Source organism: Homo sapiens, chromosome 7 (genome assembly GCF_000001405.40).
Source record: "Homo sapiens chromosome 7, GRCh38.p14 Primary Assembly".
Lineage (NCBI taxonomy): Eukaryota > Metazoa > Chordata > Mammalia > Primates > Hominidae > Homo > Homo sapiens.
Genome location: NC_000007.14, coordinates 135,443,646 through 135,465,336, shown reverse-complemented (window position 1 = coordinate 135,465,336; position 21,691 = coordinate 135,443,646). Strand labels below are relative to the sequence as shown.

At 37.9% G+C, this 21,691-nt stretch overlaps 1 protein-coding gene and 1 pseudogene across 16 annotated transcripts in view; one reads left to right on the top strand and one right to left on the bottom strand.

The window, feature by feature from the left end:
- Positions 1–21,691, top strand: part of CNOT4 (CCR4-NOT transcription complex subunit 4) — a 148,308-nt gene that overhangs the window by 44,766 nt on the left and 81,851 nt on the right. The window lies entirely within an intron of this gene.
- SDHDP2 (succinate dehydrogenase complex subunit D pseudogene 2) lies at positions 19,597–20,897 on the bottom strand (annotated as a pseudogene).

Genomic DNA, 21,691 nt, shown 5'->3' with positions numbered 1-21,691 from the left:
GTGGGAGTAGCAGTCAGCGTGTATATACACATGTCTGGTGTGGGTGAAGATTCCAAGGGGAGATCCAATCTAACAGTAATAGAAAAAAATATTCCATTAAAATGGGTGTGTGCTTGGATTTTTGTACATTTATATAAATATAAACATGTAAATGAATTAAACAGTGAACTCTGTCCTTTTATTTAAAATTAATTTATTAAAACCAGAGAGCAGCAGCTTAGGAAATACACCAGATTTATTAAAAATCTACTTTAATAGCCCAGCTGTCTTCCAAATTATCTGTGATAATTTAGTGTATCAACAGCAATCTGATGTATAAAATAATAGTATGTATACAAAAAAGTACTCTAATTCAGATTCTCTTCCAATTCAAATTAGTAGCTTTAATCTGTGTTTCTTGTACCTTAGGAAAAACTCATTTGTGCAATATCTTTAGATTTTTCTGGTCATTACTAAACACTAAAAGCCATTTATTAACAGTAAATATCAAAACATTGGGCTTTATTAAATAACAGTTTTCTTGAGAATGGTGACAGACTTAAATTTTAGAATTATAAAATTATTTTATTTTTTATTTTTAAATTTTATTTTAAAATTTAATAGTATTATAGAATGTTGATTAGCATTGTATTTTATTCCTATTGTAGGTTATCACAGTTTTTTTAAAAACTTTTAGGTTTGGGGGCACATGATAAGGTTTGTTACATAGGTAAACACATGTCACATCACCCAGATATTAAGCCCAGTACCCAACAGTTATCTTTTCTGCTCCTCTCCCTCCTTCCACCCTCCCCACTTCCCCCTCAAGTAGAGCCATGTCTGTTGTTTCCTTTTTTGTATTCATAAGTTTTTTATCATTTAGCTCACATTTATAAGTGAGAACATGCAGTATTTGGCTGTCTGTTCCTGCATTAGTTTGCTAAGAATAATAGCCTCCAGCTCCATCCATATTCCTGCAAAAGACATGATCTTGTTCTTTTTTTATGGCTACATAGTATTCCATGGTGTATATGTACCACATTTTCTTTAATCTGTCATTGATGGGCATTTAGGTTGATTCCACGTGTTTGCTGTTGTGAATAGCACTGCAGTGAACATTCGTGTGCATGTGACTTTATGGTAGAATGATTTATATTCCTCTAGGTATATACTCAGTAATGGGATTGCTGGTTTGAATGGTAGTTCTGCTTTTGGCTCTGAGGAATTGCCATACTGCTTTCCACAGTGGTTGAACTAATTTACATTACCACCAGCAATATAAGTGTTCCCTTTTCTTCGTAACCTTGCCACCATCTGTTTTTTTTTTTTTTTTGACTTTTTAATAATAGCCATCCTGATTGGTGTGAGATGATACCTCATTGTGGTTTTGATTTGCATTTCTCTAATGATCAATGATATTGAGGGTTTTTTTTCATATGCTTCTTGGTGGCATATATGTCTTCTTTGAGAAGTGTCTGTTCTTGTCCTTTGCCCTCTTTTTAATGAGATTGTTTGTTTTTCTCTTGTAAATTTGTTTGTTCCTTATAAATGCTGGATATTAGACCTTTGTCAGATGCATAGTTTCCAAATATTTTCTCCCATTCTGTAGGTTGTCTGTTTATTCTGTTGATAGTTTCTTTTGCTGTGCAGAAGCTCTTAAGTTTAATTAGATCCCACTTGTCAATTTTTGCTTTTGTTGCAGTTGCTTTTGGTGTCTTTGTCATGAAATCTTTGCCGGTTCCTACATCCAGGATGGTATTTGTCTAGGTTGTCTTCCACGGTGGTTGGTTGGTTGGTTTTTTTTTTTTTTTTTGGGTGGGGGGATGAAGTCTCACTGTCGTCCCCCAGGCTGGAGTGCATGGCGCGATCTCGGCTCACTGCAACCTCCACAGCCTGGGTTCAAGCGATTCTCCTGCCTCAGCCCCCCGAATAGCCGAGATTACAGGCGCCTGCCACAACACCCAGCTAGTTTTTGTATTTTTAATAGAGACAGGGTTTCAGCATGTTGGCCAGACTGGTCTCGAACTCCTGACCTCAGGTGATCTACTCGCCTCGGCCTCCCAAAGTGCTGGGATTACAGGCATGAGCCACCGTGCCCGGTCTTCCAGGGTTTTTATAGTTTTGGGTTTTACATTTAAGTCTTTAATCCATCTTCAGTTAGTTTTTGTGCATGGTATAAGGTAGCGGTCCAGCATTGTTTTACCTGACTTCAAACTATACTACAAGGCTGCAGTAACCAAAACAGCATGACACTGGTACAAAAACAGGGACATAGACCAATGGAACAGAATAGAGGGCCCAGAAATAAGGCTGCACATCTACGGCTGTCTGTTCTTTGACAAAGCTGACAAAAACAAGCAGTGGGGAAAAGATTGCCTAACCAATAAATGGTGCTGGGATAACTGGCTAGCCATATGCAGAAGATTGAAGGTTATCACATTATTTAATCCCTTTAAAATCCGTTGCTTAACTGCAAGAGGTTTACTGTAATCATTTTACATTTTTAGAGTTTTAGAATGGGGAGGGATCTTAGAGGTTTATCTAATACAACCTCTTCATTTTACTGACCGAAGCTCAGGTCTATAGAAACCTATGACTTGACCAACTTCTCAAAACTCGTTATTTTAAGAATCCAAGACTGTAACCTAGATCTGCTATACACACCTTATTTTCTAATGCTTTCTAATTTGAATCTAATTGAAATACAGAATGTGCTTAATATTTGCATGTTAAGAGGTCTTCATTAGTAAGAAAATCTTCAGAAGCTGTAATGGACAAAAGTATAAGGAAGTATTAGGAAGGAATCGAGTTTCCTGTGAGAGTAAGGGTCTTTGTGACATGCGGTTGATAACTCTCCTCCAGTCTTTTATTATTTCATTCCTTTCATCCCTTTTTTTCTCCTGGATCCCTCCTATCCCCTTTTCTCTTAGAGTGCAGATGGGATGACTGTAAAGTGGACCTTTTAGAGTAGACCAGAATAAGGAGATTGGATCGAGGGAGATGGGGACAGAACTGGTAGGTTAATTATATTTTGTAACTTCCCAAGCTGGTTCTAATGTTCCAGCACAGTTACTGGAAACCAAAAGAACTAAAAACATAGATTTTTTTTTTTTTAGAAGCACTCCACACTCTGCTGAAGTTGGTAATATTATAAAAGTTGTAGAATTCTCTGTTAGTCTTCCAACCTACACCTGTCAAATCTACCTTCTTTGTTTTCTCTTTTAAAAATTTTCCTTTTTTTTCACCTTTTTTCCTTCTGTTCAAACATTGTTTGCTTCAAGTGATTTTTTTTTATAAGGGAATAGGAAATATAAAGTGAATATACTCTTAAGACGGATATTCTTTCTTTTAATAAATCTCTGGACTGTCGCAGTTCTTATCCTTTTTTAAAGAGAAGAGTTTGCTGAAGTGGTTAAAGATATTTTACTGAAATTTCATCTTGGTAAAAAAAAGACAGTTAATTTTTAATATTATTTTATTATATTTGCTCTGCTTATTTCCTTTTTCTATTTTATTTTATTTTTTTGGGACGGGATCTCGCTCTGTCGCCCAGGCTGGGGTGTAGTGGTGCGATCTCGGCTTACTGCAGCCTCCACCTCCCAGGTTCAAGCAATTCTCCCACCTTAGCCTCCTGAATAGCCATAATTATAGGGGTGCACCACCACGCCTGGCTAATTTTTGCATTTTTAGTAGAGACGGGGTTTTGCCATGTTGGCCAGGCTGGTCTTGAACTCCTGACCTCAGATAATCCACCTGCCTCGGCCTCCCAAAGTGTTTGGATTACAGGCGTGAGCCACTGCGCCCGGCCTCTGCTTGTTATTTCCAAAGATTTAATAGGTAAAGCAGGGACAGGCTGTGAACTGAGATAAGGACAATTCGATGATGATATTTATTCCTGTAGCTGTGAGGCATTATGTAGCCACAGCTGGGTGTACAGGGTTTGTTAGGAGCAGCCTTTCAGGGAGTATCTTCTGAATATTTGATAAAAGTAGTTGATAAGTTATGAACATTAGCAAAACCATTTATTCTAATAAGAATCTTTAAAATTGCTTATTTCTTTTTTGCACACTAGACTTCATAAAAATTTAAATTATAAATTTTGATTAGTCTGTGTGGGGGTGAGAATTAAAAGAGGATATATGAAATTTATTTCTTAAATGTAGCTAAGAATCATTACACTAGACTTTCAAAAAAAAATGTGACTGGCACACACCACCTAAAATTGTGGGGTAATTTTCTGCTTTCACAGATCTTTGTAGAATGTGATCTAAACCAGGTGTTGGCAAACTATGCCCTGCAGGCCCCATCCTATTCATGGACTGTTTTTTGTAAAGTCCATGAGCTAAAAATGCTTTTTACATTTTTACAGGTTTGTAAAAACAAAACAAAGAATATAGAACAGAGATTGTATGTGCCTATGTAGCCTGAAATACCTACAATCTGGCCCTTGCAGAAAAAAATTTGTTGAATCCTGAAGAAAGCTCTACATGGTCACATAGAACCGTTTCAGGCAATTCAGAATTACAGGCGTAAGTTGCCTTATTGTGTACTGCTTTAATAAGTGCTTCATAGATACTGCTTTTTTTTCAAATTGAAGGTTTGTGGCAACCCTGAGTCAAGCAAGTCTATCAGTGGCATTTTTCAACAGCATATACTTGCTTCATGTTTCGGTGTCACATTTGGGTAATTCTCACAATATTTCACACTTTTTAATGATTATTATGTCTGTTACGGTGATCTCTGGTCAGTGATCTTTGATGTTACTATTATAGCTGTTTTGAGATGCCGGGAACTGCACCTACGTAAAATGATGAACTTAATTAATACATGTTGTATGTGTTCTGACTGCTCTGGTGACTGGCTATTGCTCTGTCTGTCTCCCTCTGGGTCCTCGTTACTCCCTGAAACACAATATTGAAATTAGGTCATTTTCTAAGTGTTCAAATGAAAGAAAGAATCACATGTCTCTCACTTTAAACCAAAAGCTAGAAATGATTAAGTTCAGTGAAGAAGGCATGTCAAAAGCCTCATGAGATAGGCCAAAAAGTAGGGCTTTTGCACCAAAAAATTAGCCAAGTTCTGAATGCAAAGGAAAACTTGAGGGAAATTGAAAGTGCTACTCCAGTGAACACATGAATGATAAGAAAGCGAGACAGCCTTATTGTGGACATGGAGAAAGTTTGAGTCGTCTGCCTAGAAGATGAAACCAGTCACATAATTTCCTTAAACCACAACCTAATCCAGAGCAAAGCTCTAACTCACATCCAGAGCAAGGCTCTCTCTTCCATTGTATGAAAGCTGAGAGAAGTGAGAAAGCTACAGAAGAAAACTTTGCAACTAGCTGAGATTGGCTCATGATGTTTAAGGAAGGAAGCCATTTCCATAACATAAAAGTGCTAGGTGAAACACCAAGTGCTGATGTAGAAACTGTAGTCAGTTGTCCAGAAGATCTAGCTAAGATCATGGATGAAGATGGCTACACTAAACAGATTTTCAATGTAGGTGAAACAGCCTTCTAGGACTTTGATTACTAGAAAGGAGAAGTCAGTGCCTGGCTTCAAGGCTTCAAAGCTTCAAAGGATAGGCTGACTCTTATTAGGGGTTAATGCCGCTGGAGACTTCAAGTTGCAGTCAGTGCTCATGGACTATTCTGAAAACCACAGGGCCCTTAGGAATTATGCTAAATCTACCCTGCCTATGCTCTGTAAATGGAACAACCATTTTATATGAGGGACTTTATGATCTTCTGATTTTTGTATCCATAGGCGAGGAGGTCCTGGAGCAAGTCCTCCAAGGATACTGACAGATGATTATATTTCATGTTATATACCACAGCTTGTAAAAGTACATCCTTAGAATAGAGAAACCATTTGCCTAATAGTCAAAAGATTTCTTCAGGGAGAAGTATAAGAGAAAAAGATTTGAAAGAGGTCTAGGATTTAGACTTAACGATCAATTGTGAGGTTTCCTTGTTGGTTTAGATCAGAGCAGAGGTTGGTAAACTGCGTCCCACTGCAGAAATCCTTCCTGCTGCTTGTTTTTGTGAGGCATGAGAGAATGGTAGGAAGCCTGGCTGACAGCCTATCTGTTTACAGCATGGTTTAGGGAACGTTAAGCCCGCTGTTGAGACCTACCGCTCAGAAAAAAAGATTCCTTTCAAACTGTCCCTGTGCATTGCCCTGGTGACCTGAGAGCTTTGATGGAGATGTACAAGGAGATTAATGTTGTTTTCATGCCTGCTAACACAACATCTATTCTGCAGTCCGTGGATCCAGGAGTAATTTTGAGTTTCACGTAATCTTATTTAAGAAATACAATGTTCATAAGGCTATAGTTGCTGTAGATAGTGATTCCTCCAATGGATCTGGGCAAAATAAATTGAAAACCTTCTGGAAAGGATTCATCATTCTAGAAGCCATTAATAACATCCCTGATTGATGGGAGGAGGTCAAAATACCAACATTAGCAGGGGTTTGGAAGAAGTTGATTTCATCTCTCATGGATGACTTTGAGAGGTTTAAGACTTCATCGTGGGAAGTAACTGCAGATATGGTAGAAATAGCAAGATGACTAGAATTAGAAGTACAGCCTGAAGATGTGACTGAATTGCTGCAATCTCATGATACAATTTGAACAGATAAGGAGATGCCTCATAAGAATGAGCAAAGAAAGTGGTTTTTAGAGATGGGACCTTCTCCTGAAGATGCTGTGAATATTGTTGAAATGACAACAAAGGATTTAGAATATTTAATAAACTTATTTGACAAAGCAGTGACAGGGTTCGAGAGGATTGCCTCCAATTTTGAAAGAGGTTCTACGTGGGTAAAATGCTATCAAACAGTATCACATGCTACAGAGAAATCTTTCGTGAAAGAGAGAGTCAATGGCTGTGGCAAACTTTATTGTTGTCTTATTTTAAGAAATTGCTACAGCTACTCCATCTTTTGGCAACGACCACCCTGATCAATCAGCAGCCATCAACATCAAGGCAAGACCCTCCACCAGCAAAAAGACTGTGACTGTCTGAAGGCTCAGATGATCTTATCATTTTTTAGCAGTAAAGTATTTTTAAATTAAGGTGTATACATTGTTTTCTAGATATAATGCTATTGCATATGTGATATACTACAGTATAGTGTAAACATACCTTTAATATGCACCACAAAACCAAAAAATTTGTGTGACTTGCTTTATAGTGGTAATTGCAGGTGCCTGGAACTGAATCTACAATATCTTCTGGGTATGCCTGTGTAGGTGAAATAACATAAATGAGGAAAATCAACACACATGGAGTGTTTGTTACAATGTTGTTTACAGTAGCAAAAACTTTGAAACAAATGTTCAGTAACAGGAGACTGGTTAAATAAATTATAGGACATCTGTGTAGTAGAATATAATATTCATTGAGAGTCGTAACCTATGATTTACACAAAGGAGAAATGTTGATTGCATTAAGAGTGGGGGAGACCAAATTCCAGAACTGTATGCAGTAAGATCCTTTACAAAACACACACATGCACATACATATGCTCTTGATATCTGTATAGGTACAGAAAGTTTTATATGCTATAGAGTCCTTGGTGACTTAGATATTTTTTCTAATTGTTGCTTTTATGTCATTGCTAATTGTATTACAATGAAGTTAAGTAATTTCCCTTTGGGTATGGAAAAATTAAGTCTGAATAGAGTTTTAAGTCACAAAGAGAACAGATATTTTATGTAAAATAGTATTAGAAGCGTGGAAACGCCATTGAAACTTACAAATTTTTGGAAAAATTAAAATAGAACTTATCTCAAAATCCTATTAATTTATTATTCTTAAAGTTTAAATAGGCTGAGCATGTAATAATGATAGTTAGTTGTCCAAAGAAAATAGTACTATTTTAAGGTATATCCCTTACAATGCGAGATACTGTGTATCATAGAGAATGCTTCTTTCCACAAAAGCATGCATTGGTGTTACTTTCAGATACAGATTTTGACTTAGCCAAATCATAAAATTAAACCTCAAATAACATTTCTTCCTTCCATTTCTCTTTCCCTTTGTCTCCTTCCCTTCCCTTCCTTTCCTTTCACTGTGTATTATTGAAGTACAGTTAGATAATACTGACCTTTTACAACTGTATGCTCCCTGTTGTTGCCAACATCCAGTCTTCTTTCTTTTCTCTCTCTAGTATTTTGTGGTTTAATGTAAATGTGTTGCACATCTCATTAAATTTATTCCTTGATATTTGATGTTTTATTTGATGCTGTTTAAGTGTTATTACAATTTTACTTTGTTTCCATTGCATGTTGCTAGTATTTTGAAATACAGTGGATTTTTATATATTGGTTTTATAGCCAGTGATCTTGCTGAATTAGTAGTTATAGTAGTTTTCTGTTATTTTGGGGTTTCTATGTACAAAATCTTATCATCTGCAAATAAAGACTAGTTTTACTTCTTTTCCCACCTTACACAGTAGTCCTCCCTTATCCATGGGTGATGCGTTCCAAGACCCCCAGTGATTGCCTGAAACCGCAGATAGTACTGAACCCTTTATATACAGTTGGCCTTCTGTATCTGTGGATTCAACTACCCATGGATGGAAAATTTTCGGGGATGGGGTGGAGACAACAAAAAATATAAATAAAAAAATTATGTCACAGTAACTGTTTATATAGCATTTACCGAGTTATAAGTAATCTAGACATGATTTAAAATAAATGGGAGGATTGCATATGTAATATGCAAATAGTAAACCATTTTATATAAGGGACTTGAGCTTCCTCTGATTTTTGTATCCATAGAAGGTGGGGAGGTCCTGGAACAAGTCCTCCAATGATACCGACGGATGATTATATTTCATATTATATACCACAGCTTGTAAAAGTACATCCTTAGAATAGAGAGAAACCATTTGCCTAATATGTAGTCAAAAGATTTCTTCAGGAAGAAGTATAAGATAAAAAGATTTGAAAGAGGTCTAGGATTTAGACTTATGATCAGTTGTGAGGTTTCCTCGTTGATTTAGATCAGAGCAGAGGTTGGTAAACTGCATCCCACTGCAGAAATCCTTCCTGCTGCTTGTTTTTGTGAGGCATGAGAGAATGGTAGAAAAAATAATTCAAAAAAATCAGTTTGTTGTAATATGAGAAAATTAACTGAAATTCAGTTTTCAATGTCCGTAGATAGTTTTATTGGAATACAGCCACACTTACTCATTTGTGTATAGCCTGTGACTGCCTTTGCATTTAAGCAGTAGAGTAATTGTAATGTTTGAATGGCCAGTAAAGCATAAGATATTTACTGTTTAGCCCTTCAACAAAAATGTTTCCTAATGTCTAGATTCTCTTCTGTTTTCGTCAATGTTACATTTTTAAATGGGGGTTTTACTTTCTAAGATGGCAGTGGTGTAAGTGAGTTTCCATCCCACAATTAAGTAAACAAAATATTCTGTTCTCAGATATTAACACGCTTATATGTTTTAGTCTTTTTTGTTTGTTTGTTTTTTTGAGACAGTCTTGCTCTGTTGCCCAGGCTGGAGTGCAGTGGTGCAATCTTGGCTCACTGCAACTTCCACCTCACAGGTTCACCTCGTGCCTCAGCCTCTCAAATAATTGGGACTACAGGCATGCACCACCATGCCCAGCTAATTTTTTATTTTTAGTAGAGATAGGGTTTCAGCATGTTGGCCAGGCTGGTCTTGAGCTCCTGGCCTCAAGTAATCTGCCCGCCTCAGCCTCCAAAAGTGCTGGGATTACAGGCATGAGCCACAGTGCCTGGCCTTAGTCTTTTTTTTTTTTAAACCTGTGGGCTTAAACTTCCTGAAGACACCTGAAGTATGTATTTATTTAAATAGACCACTTTTGTTGCAAAATAAATTCCTTTGTCCATGGTTGGTAGACTTTTATTTTGAAATTGTTTTTTAAATGTGTATAGAATATATTTATGTGCAATTTCAAGATTAGTAAAACTAGCACCCATATATGTATTGACCATTATTTTCTATATTCAAAGCACAGCCTTTGAGTTGGTTGAATTGGTTGGCATTGCTATATGAATTTAAAGCTTTTTTTTTCGCCACATAGTTTTTTTTTTTTTAGGAGAACAGGATTTTGCTCTCTTCCCGAGGCTGGAGTGCACTGGTATGATCCTAGGTCACTGCAGCCTGGAAATCCTTGGCTCAAGTGATCCTTCCACCTCAGCCTCCCAAGTAGCTGGGACTACAGACACACACCACTGTGCCTGGCTATTCTTTCTTTCTCTTCCTGTCCTGTCCTGTCCTTTTTTCACACAGGGCCTCGCTTTGTAGTCCAGGCTGGTTTCCTAGCTTCAAGTGATCCTCTTGCCTCAGCCTCCCAAAGTGCTGGGATTACTAGTGTGAGCCACTGTGGCTGACCAATTTGTTTTCCACAATTGTAATTGACCTAGTGTTGTGTATATTTGGTCCTTTACGTTTACAGAATGTTTTGTTTTGTTCTATTTTATTTTATTTTGAGACGCTGTCACTCTGTCACACAGGCTGGAGTGAAGTGGCATGATCTCGGCTCACTACAACCTCCTCTTCCCAGGCTCAAGTGATTCTTGTGCCTCAGCCCCCTGGGACTACAGGCACACGCCACCATACCCAGCTCATTATTGTACTTTTTGTAGAGATGGAGTTTCACCACGTTGCCCAGGCTGGTCTCAAGCTCCTTTTTGTTTTTACTTATTTACTTTTTTTATTTTATTTTTTTGAGACAGGCTTTTACTCTTGGCTCACTGCAACTTCCACTTCCCAGGCTCAAGTGATTCTTCTGCCTCACCCTCCTGTGTAGCTGGGACCACAGGTGCGTACCACCGCACCTGGCTATTTTTTTTTAATTTTTTAATTAATTTTTTATTTTTATAGAGATAGGGTTTCGCCATATTGCCCAGGCTGGTCTTTAACTCTTGAGCTCAAGCGATCCACCTGCCTTGGCCTCCCAGAGTGCTGAGATTACAGGAATGAGTTGCTGTGCCCGGCCTTGTTTTATTCTTGAAAACATTCTGACATATACATTCTCTGTGAGACTTTCTGTAGTAATACTAATTTGGTTAACATTTTCTATTGGAAACAGGAATGAACTAGTTGTGTGTGGACCAGAGGACTCTTGACTTTACTATTTTAGTTTTATGGTGTAAAACGGTTACCATTCTAGGCTTTACTGAGTCATAATAGAAGTGAGGCACACATGGAGATTAGAGAGGAACAAATGTTAAAACACTAAATTTTTTCTTCCTTTTAAAGAAGAATTAATAGCTATATTTCTGTATTTTAGACCCCTTAAAAGTATTTATTATTTAGTTTTATTCCAGATGGCTGCATGGTAGCATATCTAGAAATCAAATATATATATATATATATATGTATATATATTTTTTATAGAGATAGGGTTTCGCCATATTGCCCAGGCTGGTCTTGAACTCCTGAGCTCAAGCGATCCACCTGCCTTGGCCTCCCAAAGTGCTGGGATTATAGGCATGAGCTGCTGTACCAGCTATATATATAATATATATATATATATATATAAAATATATATATTTATTATATATATTTATATATAAAAATATTTTTGTATCCATATATATGTTATATTTTATATATATATAATATAACATATATATATAAAACAATTCCAGGAAAATACTCATACATAAGCTTGATTGTTTTATTTTTGTTTAAATTTTCAAAAATCATTTTCTTTCATTTAAAAATCATTATTTACCCAGATACCTGTTATCTGCCCTCCTTTATGAATTCTGTCTTACTGTACGCTTCCTCCATGTCCCCTTATGCCCTACCTAGCCCAAAACACTGAAAGGTTGGACTTCCATATGAATCAATGCTTTCCATGAAGTAAAACTGCAGAAGTGGTGGCAGGATATTCCTGAATGAAGTTTGAGACAGATACACTGGCAGAGATCTCTTGGTGGGCAAGGAGCATAAGATTAGTAGCATGCCATCTGGGGTTAGAATTTAGGAGGTGGTAGAATGTAAGTGACTAGCTGACAGTTTGGCTAAAGAAGTGGTTGCATTTAACCAGGCTAATAAACATGAGCTTAAAAAAAAATTCACTGGCTAAGACTGGGTCTTGCACTTCATTTTCAGTTTAGTGTTTCTCCTTGGATTAATTTTTTCTGTTTTATCCATTACTAGTGGTATACTGTAAATTGATGTACAGAAGTATCTCTAAAAAGACTAATTTATAGGAGTCCAGACGGACTAGAAGGGTTTTAAGCTTATAATACCTGGATCCTTTTGTTTTAATTAGGTTTCTAGATAAGTCCTTACAAACTTCAAAGGTGTTATACCCTATCAGATACTTTTTCCCCCAAATAAAACTGTATTTTTCAGTTGAAAATAAATTGATATAGGCAATTCCTTTTCTTGACAACCTTCACAAGTGTGGTAGAGAATTATTTAGCACACTAATTAGTCTCAGCTTCGATTTTGTGCAGATTTGATTTTACCTATTAATAACACTTTCATCGGGCTTAGCCTTTAATTTTATAAACTCCTGGCCTCCTCCTGAGCATTAAATTGATAGGAAACATACTGATGCTAATCTCTAATTATACATTCAGAAGTTTTTTCATCTCATCACTCTATTGTCCCTTTTTATTTGTCCGTCATACTTAAATTTTCAACTAATTTAATATAGTTTTTCTCATTATACAAGTAAACGTTCATTTCTAAAGATTGAAAAATAAAAGGAAGAAAACGAACTACCTCTAGCCCTCTACTCAGTGACAGACACTGCTATTTTCTTTTCTTTTTCTTTTCTTGAGATGGAGTTTCACTCTTGTTGCCCAGGCTGGAATGCAGTGATACGACCTCAGCTCACTGCAACCTCCGCCTCCCAGGTTCATGTGGTTCTCCTGCCTCAGCCTCTCAAGTAGCTGGGATTACAAGTGTGTGCCACCACGCTTGGCTAATTTTTGTATTTTTAGTAGAAACAGGGTTTCGCCATGTTGGCCAGGCTGGTCTCGAACTCCTGACCTCAGGTGATCCACCTGCCTTGGCCTCCCAAAGTTCTGGGACAGGCGTGAGCCACCATGCCTGTCCCTATTTTCTTACATGTCCTTTGATACACTCTTTTATTACTATTCCTCTTTTAGAGACAGGTTCTTACTCTGTCACCCAGGCTATGGTGTAGTGACGTGATCATAGCTCACTGCAGCCTTGAACTCCTGGGCTCAAGCGATCCTTCTGCCTCAGCCTCCGCAGTAGCTGGCACTACAGGTGTGCTCCTCCATGCCCAGCTATTTTTTGTACTGATAGGGTCTCGCTATGTTGCCCAGGCTGGTCTTGAACTCCTAGCATCAGGTGAGCCTCCCTCCTCAGCCTCACAAAGTGCTGGGATTACAGCTGCGAGCCACTACACACAACCTGAATCACTGTTTTATTTGTCTCTCTGCCATCCTCCATATACAGTTTTGGGAGCATATAATACTTGCACATGTCTATGGTACAGTGTTGAATAACATAGGCACAGTCTTTGCACTCAAAGGATTCAAAGTTTAATACTCTTTAAAAAGTTGCCTTTTAAAAATTAATTGCTATTATAGAAGAAATACATAAATAGTCTCTTTGCAAAAACACATAGATAAGGTTCAGCTTTCTGATTGCTCCCATTCCCTTCTTTATTTTCCTAAAGGTAGTCACTATTAGCAGTTTATATGTCATTTTTCCCCCTAAGGGTTTGCTTATACTATACATATGTAGAGAACATGTATGATTTCTTTTTTAGTGTAAAAACAGTTGGCTGGGTGTGGTAGCTCATACCTGTAATTCCAGCACTTTGGGAGGTCGAGGCGGGCAGATCACTTGAGTCCAGGAGTTCGAGACCACCCTGTCCAATGTATGAAACCCCATTTCTACTAAAAATACAAAAATTAGCCAGGTGTGGTGGTGCATGCCTGTAATCCCAGCTACTAGGAAATCTGAGGGATGAGAATTGCTTGAACTCGGGAGGTGGATGCTGCAATGAGCCAAGATCATGCCATGCATTCCAGCCTGGGGTACAGAATGAGAATCTCTCGAACAAAAACAAGACAAAACAAAACACAACTGTTATACAGTACCTGCAATTAGTTTTCTTTTCATTCAGTATGTTAGTATGTACAGATTTAGTTCTTTAAAACTGCTTTATTTAATTTTACTGATACACAGTAACTTAGCCTTTCCTATTGATAGACATTGGGAGTCCCAATTTTTTGCTATTGCAAAACATTCCTGCAATTGCTTCTACTCATGCAGATGTGCAACTGTTTCTCTAAGGCTGTTATGCAGAGGTGGGGTTAGTAGATCATAGAGGATTATGTGATTACCCTTGAAATTTTACCATTCATGTTACTCTTTTTTTACCCTCTTTTTCTGGAGGGTCTTATTTTTCTTTTTTGAGTCAGTCTCACTTTGTCACCTAGGCTGGAGTGCAGTGGCGTGATCTCGGCTCACTGCAACCTCTGCCTCCTGGGTTCAAGTGATTCTTAATGCCTTGACCTCCCGACCATTCATGTTACTCTTTAAGTTGGACCTTAGAGCAGTTTATCTTATATCACTCCCCTCCCAATAGACATTTTATCCTTTTTAAATCTAACAAATTAGACAGACATTGTTGTTATTTTATAGAGAAATGTGTGATTCAGTTTACGCACATTTTTACCACATCTTTCCTTACCATGCCTTCAATTTCTGACTGTAGCTGGGCACAGCGGCTCACGCCTGTAATCACAGCACTTTAGGAGGCTGAGGCAGGTGGATCACTTGAGGCCAGGAGTTTGAGAACAGCCTATTCAACATGGTGAAACCCCGTCTGTACCAAAAATACAAAAATTAGCCAGGCGTGGTGGTGTGCACCTGCCTGGTAATCTGGGTCTAAGGATTACTTTTAACCAGAATATCAGCTACTCAGGAGGCTGAGGAAGGAGAATCGCTTGAACCCAGGAGGCGAAGGTTGCAGTGAGCCGAGATCACGCCACTGCACTCCAGCCTGGGTGACAGAGGAGTCCCTGACACAAACAAACAAACAGAAAAAAAAATTTCTGACTGTCCTCCTGGATTATTTTCCTCCTTCTTAAAAAACGTCTTCAGAAGTTTCATTAGTGGAGGTCTTTTAGTGGTAAATTGCCAGTTTTTGTTTATTTAATTTTTAATTTAGCCTCATTTCTCTTTTTGAGTCAGGGTCTTACTATGTTGCCCAGGCTGGCCTTGAACTCCTGGGCTTAAGCGATTCTCCTGCCTCAGTTTCCCAAGTAGCTGGGATTACACGTGTTGGCCACTGTGCCTGACTATTTTTAGCTGTTTGTCATGAAAATTTTTTAAGCATACATGAAAGTAGAACAAATGCTATGATGAAATCCAGTATTTCCATTCCTCAGTTTCCTGTTATTGATACTTTATAATTTCATGTTTAAAGAGGGGTCTCTTTACCTCTCTGTGCCTTCCTTCCTGCTGGAATATCCAATCATGAAGTCTGTCAATACTTTAGAATGTATCTCCTAGAGAAGAGGTTAAAAAAAAAAAAACCCACAATATTCTCATTCCTAACTAAATTAGCAGTAATTCCTTAACATCATCTAACACCTAGTCCATGTCAAAGTCTTTTCAGTTGTCTTTGAAATGTCTTTTTATAATTTTACTCTCATTTTTTCAGGGTTGTTATTTCCTAGGTGCTCAGTTGTAGGTTGACAGTAATTTTCTCTTCATATCTTGAAGATACATTACTGCCTTCTGGCTTCCTTGCTGTTACTTGCTGTTACTCTAATTATTCCATTGGGTGAAGGATTCTTTCTTTATGGCTTCCTTTATGGTTCTTGTTGTCTTTAGTGTTGTGCAATTTTACTACTTTGTATCTGGATGTGGGCTTATTGATCACATTTGGGTATGTTGTACTTTCTGGGTCTAGGGATTACTTTTAACCAATTCTTGGAAATTTGCAGCTAGTGTCTCTTTCTTTTAAAACTTTGAAAAAGGAAATATACATTCAGAAACATATAAAACAGGTACAGTTTCGTTATAAAGTAGATGTCTTTGTAGACTCTTCCGAGGTCAAAAGCAGAATATTTCACGTACCTCAGAATCCCCCTGCCCCATACACCCCTTGCCATTTGAAGTCGTCTCCCTTTCCTTAGAGGTAGTCACTATCATGACTTTTATCACCTTTATGTGCATCCCTAAAATATAGTTTCCTTTGTTGAAATTTATATGACCAGCATCGTATACTTTGTCTTGCTGTTTTTGCTCAAATTATGTTTGGGAGATTCATCTGTGTTACCTGTAGTTCTTCATTTTTATACAGTCATCATTACTTAAGATAGTTTTTCTTTCCCTTTCCCTCTCTCTCCTGTCTGTTTACTACTCCCATTATGTGTATGTTCATGTGCTTATTGATGTTTCATATTTCTCTGAGGCTTTGTATTTTTTTCACTCTTTTTTTTCCTCTCTATTCTTTGGATTGCATCATCTCTATCAATCTGTCTTCAAGTTTGCCAGTTCTTTTTTCTGCCAGTTCAAATGTACTTTTGAGCTCCTCTAGTGATTTTTTCTAGTCAGTGTTCAACTCCAGAATTTCCATTTGGTTCTTTTTAATAATGTCTCTTTATCGATATTGTCCATTTGCTGAGATACTGTCATTATACCTTCCTTCTGCAATTATGGTATCCTTTAGTTCTTTGGACATATTTATAATGGCATTTTGAAGTTGGTTAAATCCATCATCTGGTTGCTCTTGCAGGTAGTGTCCTTTGCCTTTATTTTTCTCTGGTATATGGGTCCTTCCTTCCTTCCTTCCTTCCCTCCCTCCCTCCCTCCCTTTTTTTTTCTTTTTTTGACAGAGTTGCTCTGTCACCCAGGCTGATTCTCTGCTCACCGCAACCTCTGTCTCCTGGGTTCAAGGAGTTCTCCTGCCTCAGCCTCCCTAGTAGCTGGGATTACAGGTGCCCGCCACCACGCCTGGCTAATTTTTTGTATTTTTAGTGGAGATGGAGTTTCACCATGTTGGCCAGGCTGGTCTCGAACTCCTGACCTTGTGATCCACTCATCTCGGCCTCCCAAAGTGCTGGGATTACAGGCGTGAGCCACCACACTCAGCACTTTCCTATTTCTTTACATGGCTCGTAATTTTATGTTGGAAACTGAACATCTTGTATAACATTGCAACAACTCTGGGTACTGATCTTTCAACCCCCTGCTCGTTTCCAGGGCTTGTTACAATTATTTGCTTATTTGTTTAGTGACTTCTGTTGCCCTGTTTCAGTGATTTCTGTTTCCCCCCTTGCAGTGTTTAAGCCTCTGGTGTTGCTCCTTAGGGGCACAGACTTGTGTATGACCACATGGCACCTGGCAGTGTTGGGCTGACAGTGTTTGGCAGAGCTTTCTTCTGTTTCTTTTTCTGACCACACCCAGCTTTTTATCTCCACTGATTTCTGGCTGACTACTCTATTGTCTTTAACAATACTCTAGGACATAAATTGCTTCTTAGCCAGATCCATACGACTCTCGAGGTCACTGCATGTACAATTTGTTCAGACCCAGAGGGGCGCATCCCAGCTGTCTTATTCCCTGGTTCTCACCTGCAAACTAGCTGGCCTACAGTTTAGCCTGTATTTTGAATCTCTTCCAAAATGCCTTTCACTCAACCTTGGGTTTGATATTGCTTTTAGGCTTGAACGTCACACTCTTGCAAATGAAGTCAGTTCCATTGGGAAGAGATTCCCAGCTATCTCTGGGGACATGTTAAATTATATGAGATGCTTTGTATGCTGCTTTTGATTTACATCTTAGAAAAGTAAAATACAAATATTTTACTACATAAATAGCAAAGTGATAGAGAGGTAGAAAGCAGCCCTACATAGTTGATTTTTTTGTATAACAGCAGTTTAACCTTTAATGAGAGAGGCTTTTAGAAGTTGTCAGGTAGATAGATTTCTAAAACATAAGTAAGCTTTTCAGCTTCCTAAAGGTAATACAGTCCTGAGTTCTATAGTATATGAATATTCATGGTAGATATACATTGGTACTTTGGCACCTAATTTAAAAGGGGAAATTAAGTATTAGTGCTGATATTTAAACTTTTTCACTTAGCACACTGTTCATAGCTACTCTTTAGTCTGTTTTTTGTCTTCGTGTAGTTTATGTAAATAACATGCTTTGTGAAATGTGTCTAATACAGAAACAATGGACAACTTAAAGTGCTGTTTCTTATTTTTGAAGGTTGTCATTTATAACAGACATATAACAATTTATTCTTTCTTTTACGTATTCATCAAATGTGTGAATGCTTAGTATTTACTGGAAGCCATGTTGTAGCTGCATGGTATACCGTCATAAATGTGATGCACCGGGTCATTTCTGCCCTCCTGAAGTTTCCATTCTAGTGGGAACAGACTAATTGTGAAGTCCTGAAGTTTCCATTCTAGTGGGAACAGACTAATTATAAAAATATATAGTTTATAATTTTATGTATATATTGCATGTATGGTTTTTATGGAAACTTTTTTTTTCTTTTTCTTTTTTTAATCTTTTTCACTTTTTGATTTCTAGCTAGAACCACCTCCAGAATTTATGGAAACTTTTAAGATGCTATACAATACCAAAGTGTGCATGTGTGTGTGTGTCTGTGTGTGTGTGTGTCTGTGTGTGTATTTCATATCTATAAATAGCTTTCAATTATGTATAATTACAGTGTATATATAACTTTGGTTGTATAGTATATACTTAGGAGTATTATTTCTGTGTAACTGTATTCAGTGGACTTGCACTAGCTACATATTTAAGTTATTAAAAATTCATCTATTAGATTGGCAAAAAATTAAAGGGTTAATTAAATATAGTAATCATTTCAAAATTTTATAAAAGTACTGTTATGTACTATAGTTAAGTGTATACAGCATATTTTTCTTTTTTTGACTTTTTTATTGTGGCAAAATATATGTAACATATTTACCATTTTAACCATTTTCAAATGTACAGTTCAGTGGCATTAAGTACATTCACATTGTTATTTAACTATCACCACTGTCTGTTTCCAGAAATTTTTTCAGCATCTCAAACAGAAACTCTGTTAAATTAAGTAATAACTCCCCATTCTTCTCCCCCAGCCCCCTAGTAACCTTTATTCCACTTTCTGTATCTTTGAATTTGTCTATTCTAGATACCTCATAAAAGTGAGATCAGGCTGGTCATGGTGGCTCATGCCTGTAATCCCAGCACTTTGGGAGCCTGAGGTGGGAGGATCACTTGAGCCCGGAGTTCAAGACCAGCCTTTGCAACACAGGGAGACCCCATCTATATAGATATTTAAAAAATTAGCTGGGTGTGGTGGTGCACACCTGTGGTTCCAGCTACTCAGGTGGCTGAGGTGGGAGGATTTGCTTTATAAAGCCCAGCATTTTGAGGCTGCAGTGAGCTATGATCCCACCACTCACTGCACTGTAGCCTGGGTGAGAGAGTGAGACTGTGTCTCAAAAACAAGAAACCAAAAGTGAAAACATAAAATATTTGTCCTCTTGTTACTGGCTTATTTCACTTAAAGCATAGTGTTTTCAGGGTTCATTCATGTTGTAGCATGTATCAGAATTTGATTCCTTTTGTGACTGAATATAGTCTTTTTTTATTATTATACAACATTTTATTTAAAAAAATTATTTTCATAGAATACATTTTCACATTAGAGATTCCCATTGTGCGAAAATAACAATTTATTACTTATAGTTTTATATTTGTGGACAGATTGTTTTAGAACAAGTAGAACACATTTGAGAAATAAATCTAAGTTTACAATTGGTAATATTTTGATACGTCTACAAGGGGAAACTTGCCCTTAAATGGAACTTCTCTATATTCAGAAGCACTCCAAGCATTTCTCCCTAGGATTTAGAAATTTATAATGTGAGATATCAGCACTTCCTAATTTTAAAATTTCCCTGGTATATGTAACCATCAGTAGGTGGTATCTACTGACTAGAGAGGGAAGTTTTCGAAAATTAATCACTGTCTAATTTTCTACAAAGTTTTTATTCATGAATTAAGAGTATTTCCCTTTGTCCATTATTCCCAGGGCAAATATGGAAGTTTGATCATATACTAATAGTAATAAAGCTGGATTCTCTTTAAGAGATTGATAAATTAAAAGGCAAAAGCTCATATATCATGTTTAGCTATACTGTGAGTCTTATAAGAAGCTGGGAGGCAACCCCATTAACTCACCAGAATACAGAACTCAGTCTCACAATTTCTTAGATATAGTTCCTCTCAAACCTTTTCCTCAAAGATTAAATTCTGAAAATAACCTTGTGATTAAGAGAAGAAGGCTGTCCACCAACAGACTTATCTGTTATTTCTTCCTTATTGTGAGCTTAATGGCATGACAAGCAGAGGCAAAGAGGCTTACATCAGTTCTTCAAAGTATGAAGTCAAAAAGGTCAGAGCTTCCACAGCATGGCAACAGCTTTGCAGATGCCCACATCGTGATAGTTGAAATAGCAAAGCCCAGCAAAGGTTAAAGCTGAAAGTGCCAAAAGCCCTGCCTTGGCAGCTTTCTGCGAGGCATCCCCATGAACATAGTCAGTAACAACTTGTCCAAGGCCCCAGTGACCATGAAGAGTGAGGGTCGCAGCCAGGGAATAGCCCATCGCAGAGCAAGGATTCAAACAAGCAGCCGGAAGCAGACCCAGGAGCAAAACACTGAAAACCTTCTTGCTAGTCCAGTGGAGAGATGCAGCCTTGGAACCAGAATGGTGGCTCGGTGACAAGTGTATGTGCTGTACTCCACATCATTCTGGGATAGGTCGGTCCTGAAGAAATGCTGAGATATAAGCAGGTCTGACCACTGGCGTTCACAGCAACAGAGCTCGACCTCCTTGGGCACTGCAAAGGGCACTCAGCCTCCAGAGAACCGCCATCTCGTTCCTGAGGATGACTGAATATATTCTAATATTCCATGGTATGGATATACCACATTTTGTGTATGCCTCCATTGATGGACACTTGGATTACTTTCCATTTTTTGGCTATTGTCAAAAATACTGTTAGGAACACTGGTGCACAAGTATCTGTTCAAGTCCTTTCAGTTCTTTGAATATACACCTAGGAGTGAAATTGCTGGGTCATACACTAATTCTAAGTTTAATAACCACCAAACTATTTTCTGTAGTGTCTGTACTACCTTACATTCTCGTGTATTATTATTATTATTATTATTATTATTATTTTTTGAAACAGGGTTTCACTGTCTCCCCCAGGCTGGAGTGCAGCAGTGCCACATCACGGCTCACTGCAGCCTCTCCCTCCTGGCTCAGGTGATCCTCCTACCTCGGCCTCCTGAGTAGCTAAGACTACAGGTGTGCACTACCACACCCGGCTCATTTTTGTAGAGATGGGGTTTCATCATGTTGCCCAGGCTGGTCTCGAACCCCTGGGCTCAAACGATTTGCCTGCCTCAGCCTCCCAAAGTGCTAGGACTGTGAGTGTGAGCCATTGTGTCCAGCCTCTCATGTATTCTTACACATATGTTTTGAACAGGACCCTAAACACAAAACCATGTATACAGCAACACTTTATAAGTGATAAGACACTTTCAAACATAATTTTGACTGTATGATTTTTATTTTGTGTACTTACTACATGGTATGTGAGATTTTTGGTGATGCAGGAGCATTATTACACATGTCACAGTTACTAGTTACAGTTGATGTAGAGAACAAGAACTC